Below are 6,000 nucleotides of genomic sequence, written 5' to 3'. Positions count from 1 at the left end.
AGTGGCATGATCTCGGCTCACTGCAACCTCTGCCTCTCAGGTTCAAGCGATTCTCCTGCCTCAGCCTCCTGAGTAGCTGGGATTACAGGCGCGTGCCACCACACCCAGCTAATTTTTTGTATTTTTAGTAGAGATGGGGTTTCACCATGTTGGTCAGGTTGGTCTCGAACTCCTGACCTCAAGTGATCAGCCCGCCTTGGCCTCCCAAAGTGCTGGGATTACCGGCGTGAGCCACTGCACCCAGCTGACACTGCTAGTTTAGAGACCACAATTTGAGGCTGTCTTGTGAGGCACTGGAAAGTAACTCCCTCTGTTTGGTCCCATTCTGATTCACCATTTTAATTTTGGGGCCAGTAAACTAGAAATAGCATTGATGACATAAATGTTCTTCTGCCAACATGAAGAAAACAGGTCAGGTCATTGAATGAAAATCAAGTGAAATTAAATGATTTCTAGTAGCAATGAGAATGCAAATAAGCATAAACAGCAATAGATAAATCATTTCATGTTTTTGTTTAGCAAAACTTGTTAGGGCCTGTTTATATGTATTTGAAAAAAATATTTTCCAAGAAGCTTGAACAGTAAATTCAAGTCCAACAGGAAAATAATTTTAATTGAGATGGTTGCCAGAAGGGTCAATAGAGAAGTTTTTGTAATGGGAACATCTCAGCATTGCTTTCAAATTCATGCTAACACATGTTCTAAATAAGAGCCTGAGAAATTAAAAAAACAAAACAAAACTAGCTGTCAGAAAAACTGGTCATAGGAGAAAAGAGTCATGAGACCCTCCTGCTGCAAAATAATCATACTGTGCTTGTCTTTTTGCTCTGCCATGAAGAATCTGAGGGTGTCAAGAGGAAGAAGAAAGTCTCTTTGACTCAAAAAAGAGCAGAAAGTTTTTATCAAATCTAACTGTGTAAGCATGTGAGCATGTAATTTTTCTGTTTGTCGTTCTGATGGGAAGAAGCAAGTTATCAGCTGAGAAGAGGAAAGAAGAATGAACATGAAAGAAAAGAAAGAAGAAAGAAAAGAAAAAAGAAAAGAAAGAAGGAAAGAAAGAGAGAGGGGAAGGATGGAAAGATGAATGAAAGGGAGGAAGAGAGAAAGGGAGGGAGGGAGGGAGGGTGGGTCGGTCTTTGGCCCTAAACTGGCTTAGGTTCTGAGTTTAGATAAATCTTTAGATCAGGGATTCTCAACCTCAGCACTGTTGACATTTGAGACCCGAACATTCTTTGCTGTGGAGGCTGTTCCAGTGCATTGTAGGATGTGTAGCAGCATCCCTGGTCTCTACCCACACCACATGCCAGTATTATTCCCCCTATGCCAGTCGTGACAACCAAAAATGTCTCCAGACATTGCCAAATGTCTTCTGGGAAACAGAACTCCCCTGATTGAGAACCACAGCTTTAGATGATCTAACCCAGATTAAAACATTTACACAGTGCTTCCCAAATTATTGGTAGGGAAAACCAGTTTTTAAAACAATTTCCTATTTATTGTGAACCCATACATCTTTCAAACACACTAACATTTACTTACTTAAAAATAAAGTAACAAAAGGACAAAAAATACAAAAACATTTTTTATTATCAGATTGAAATATAATTCATTTACTCTGTAAAGGTGACAATATTTCCAAGTACTCTCAACTTCTATACTTAAATGAGCAAGTAATGAATAATGAACCAGCCTGGTACTCAGTGGCACTAATCTGGAGGAAATCAGAGAAAAAAAATGCATTCATTTAAGAAATACTTGCAGCATAGTAAGAAATTGTTCTAAAGTCTATATTTCTTACATGTTATTCAGGTTTTTGTCATCTTTAAGTTATATTATTTAAGTTAGCTTTAGTAGTTTTGTTGGCAACCTCTATTTAATTTTTAAAAGGAGTAAATGACTTTAGAAAAGCATGTTAATTTATAGCTGTTATCCCAGGAAACCTGGCTATGAAGACTCCAGCTGAGATACTGCATTTAACTTGTAGATAGTACATCATTTCTTTGATTCATTGATTAATTAATGAATTCAGTGCATATTTCTTCTACAACCCACTGAGTATCAGACATTGGGCTAGGCCCCGGGGATCCAAACATCAGTGAGAAAGAAACTCCACTTATGAGGGAAGATACTGCCATTCAGGAAACCTTCCTGGAGGGAATGACACCTCAGCAGAGACAAGAGAACGAGTAACAATCCAGGAGGAGAAGCAGGAAAGACTGAGAGCATTTCAGGCAGAGGGTGCTGCGTGGGAGATGGTCAGCAGATTAGTCATCACCCCTCCAAGGAACTGAAAGTAAAATATGGCTGAAGCTGAGAGTAGGAAGGGAAGGAGCATGAGCTGAGGCTGTAGAAATAATGCAGGGGACTGGGCACGGTGGCTCCTGCCTGTAATCACAGCACTTTGAGAGGCCGAGGCAGGTGGATCACTTGAGGTCAGGAGTCTGAGACCAGCCTAGCCAATATGGTGAAACCCCATCTCTACTAAAAACACAAAAATTAGCCGGGCATGGTGGCGTGCTCCTGTAGTCTCAGCTACTCTGGAGGCTGAGGTGGGAGAATCGCTTGAAACTGGGAGGTGGAGGCTGCAGTGAGCAGAGATCGCACTGGCCATGATAGTTGCTGAAATTCTACCCATCACATCTTTACATCTGCACTCCAAGTCAATACTCCACTTCCTAATTTTATCTTATTTTTTTATTTTTTTGTGGAGACAGGATCTCGCTGGTCTTGAACTCTTGGCCTCAAGTGATCCTCCCACCTCGGCTTCCTAAAGTGTTGGGATTACAGGCGTGAGCCATCACACCCAGCACTGCTTCCTAATTTTAAAGGGGCCTGTCTTCAAATCTCACATCATACTTCAATTTATATATTCCTGACCAGGACTTGTTACATATTTATACCTTGTTATGAAGGAGGCTAGGTTGTGTATTATTATTTTTTTCCTGGACTGCCATGTACTGTATATTCTCTGACAAAAAATCAGAACTCTGTGACAAAGCAAATAGAAGAGAATGTACATTTGGTATCCATATCTCTCTGAAAGACTGCCATAATCAGGTTTACATTTCAGGAATATCATTCTGACTAGGGTGGAGAGTAGGTTGTAAGGAAAGAAGACTGGAGCCAGGTAGATCAACAATGAGGTAGTGGAACACTCTAGGGCCAGGAATGGCAAACTGTGAACTATAAACTATATCCAGCCCACTGCCTGTTTTTGTAAACAAGATTTTGTTACAATACAATCATGTCCATGTATTTGTGTATTATCCGTGGCCCCTCTTGCTATACAGCAGCAGAGTTGAGTTGTTGCAAAAGAGACCGTATGGTCTGCAAAGTCTAAAATATTTACTATCTGGCCCTTTACAGAAAAACATTGCCAACTCCTGCTCTAGAGAAGCAGCAAGTAGTGTTGGAGGAAACAGACACTTTCAGGAGACATCGAGGAGGTAGAAAGTGTAAGCGATTTGGGGGTATGGAGGATTAGAGGCACAGGTTGGAGCTCTGGCTGGAGCAGGCAGAGTATTTCTGAAATCCTCAGCAGTGTCCAGATCACTGTCTAGCAAATCAGGTTTCCATGAAAGGGTTCTTATGAGACTTGAGATTGATCACTTATAGTTCATTAACCAAACAAAAAAAAATTATTCAGGTTTTGCGCTCTTAGCTTTGATGAATAAAAATTGAAAGAGGACTAGTGTCCATTTTAAAGGTGAAGAAAATGAACATAGAAACATGGAATGTTTATGACGTGTAAGACCCTGTGCTAGAAATGCATTTATCGTATCTGTTTATACTCAGTGACAATTCATTTTTTAATTTTGCTTTTTGATGTTGGCTAAAAAATATTTTTAAAGTATCAAAAAATTATACCACTAATGTTTCACAATTTGTTTTTGTTTTATATCTTTATTAAAAGTTTTAGTTATAAAAAAGTATAGTAGTATCATAAGCTTATTAAACAATGGGATAAGACAGAAAATTTGGGAAAAAATCTGTCCTCTACCATTAGATACAATTGCTGTTAATTCACTGTATTTTCTTTTCATTTTTTTCCTTTCTGGAAAGATTAAGCATTTTCTTTTAAATTATACTTTCCAATAGTTATATATAATGCTTTCTTCACTTAAATTCTGTCACTTTTTTTAAATTATGTGATCTTTGTTTGCATTATTTTGGGTACAAAACCATTCTGAAGATTTATGGGAGGTGCTTGGATTTGCACAGGTGTGTGTGCATTTCACAAGCCCTATATTTTCTAATTGGAGAGGTAAATCCATAACATAATATCCTGCTGCCCCACCATCTACTCAAAGGACTTTTTGAGTCAAGAGGCCTTTCGCAGTACAACCCAACACTTACCTCATTTGGGAACTAGGAATCTAATCTTTGTGTTGGCAGCAAAGCTCTTCCAAGAGAGTTGCTGCTTTCATTCAGTGGCTATTTCTAGAATCTATTTATAGATGCAAACTTGCCCTTTGCCCTTTGCCCTTTTATTCTCTCCTTGTGAGTGGCAGGCAGGGTTGCTGTACCACACAAAACAACTCTTCTTTCCCATCTGCCTTCCTGTGACATTTCTTTGGACCTAATCATAATCTAAAGGTCTTGCCTGTTTCTTCCACGCTGGGAATACTTGGCTAGCCCTAGTTTAGGAAATCCTTTTTTAATAGAGGAAAATTGAAATGGCCTAAGATTAGATTGCAGTGATGGTTGTAAAACTCTGTAATATATTGAAAACCACTCAACTATAAACTTTAAATAGTGAATTTTATGCTATATGAACTATATCTCAATAAATCTGTCAAAAAAATTAAAAAAGAAAAAGAGACAAGTTAGTAGTGTTATGGCTTTTGTTTGTTTGTTTTGAGACGGAGTCTCGCTCTGTCGCCCAGGCTGGAGTGCAGTGGCGCCATCTCTGCTCACCGTAACCTCCGCCTCCTAGGTTCAAGTGATTCTCCTGCCTCAGCCTCCTGAGTAGCTGGGACTATAGGCAAGTGCCACCACACCCAGCTAATTTTTTTTTTGTATTTTTGGTAGGGACAGGGTTTCACCATATTGGTCAGGCTACTCTTCAACTCCTGACCTCAGGTGATCTGCCCGCCTCGGCCTCCCAAAGTGCTGGGATTACAGGTGTGAGCCACCACGCCCAGCCTAGTTATGGTTTATCTAAAGGAGCTAAACAAGAAATTGAGTGATTTCACAGATCCAGCAAAGCAAAATTCATTTAATTAGCACCAAAATGAAACACACTCACTTAATAAGGGTGATTGCCAAGAGAGAGTTTGGGTGGTATTTTCTGTTTCCAAGGACCATCCTATGTGGTAGTGTGTAAACAGAGGCTGGGTGCGGTGGCTCACATCTGTAATCCCAGTACTTTGGGAGGACGAGGTGGGTGGATCACCTGAGGTCAGGAGTTCAAGACCAGCCTGACCAAAATGGTGAAACCCCATCTGTACTAAAAATACAAAAATTAGCTGGGTGTGGTGGTGGGTGCCTATAATCCCAGCTACTCAGGAGGCTGAGGCAGGAGAATCGCTTGAACCCAGGAGGCGGAGGTTGCAGTGAGCCGAGATTGCGCCATTGCACTCCAACCTGGGTGACAAGAGTGAAAGTCTATCTCAAAAAAAAAAAAAAAAAAAAAAAAAAAAACAAACAGTACCTGTTCAGGTATTTTCTTAAAAAGTTCTAAATGGTACCTATTCAGGTATCTCTCTCTCTCTCTCTCTCTTTTATTTTTTTCCTTAAGACAGGGTCTCACTCTGTTGCCTAGGTTGTTGTGCAGTGGTGCAATCATAGCTCACTGCAGCTTCGACTTCCCTGGGCTTAGGTGATCCTCCCACCTCAGCCTCCCAAGTAGCTGGGACTACAGGCATGTGCCATCATGCCTGGTTAATTTTTTTGTATTTGTTGTAGAGATGGGGTTTGACCATGTTGCCCAGTGTGGTCTCGAACTCCGGGGCTTAAGCAGTCCACCTGCTTCAACCTCCCGAAATGCTGGGCTTACAG

The sequence above is a fragment of the Homo sapiens genome, chromosome X (assembly GCF_000001405.40).
Source record: "Homo sapiens chromosome X, GRCh38.p14 Primary Assembly".
Classification (NCBI taxonomy): domain Eukaryota; kingdom Metazoa; phylum Chordata; class Mammalia; order Primates; family Hominidae; genus Homo; species Homo sapiens.
Note: the sequence above shows the minus strand (reverse complement) of the source record.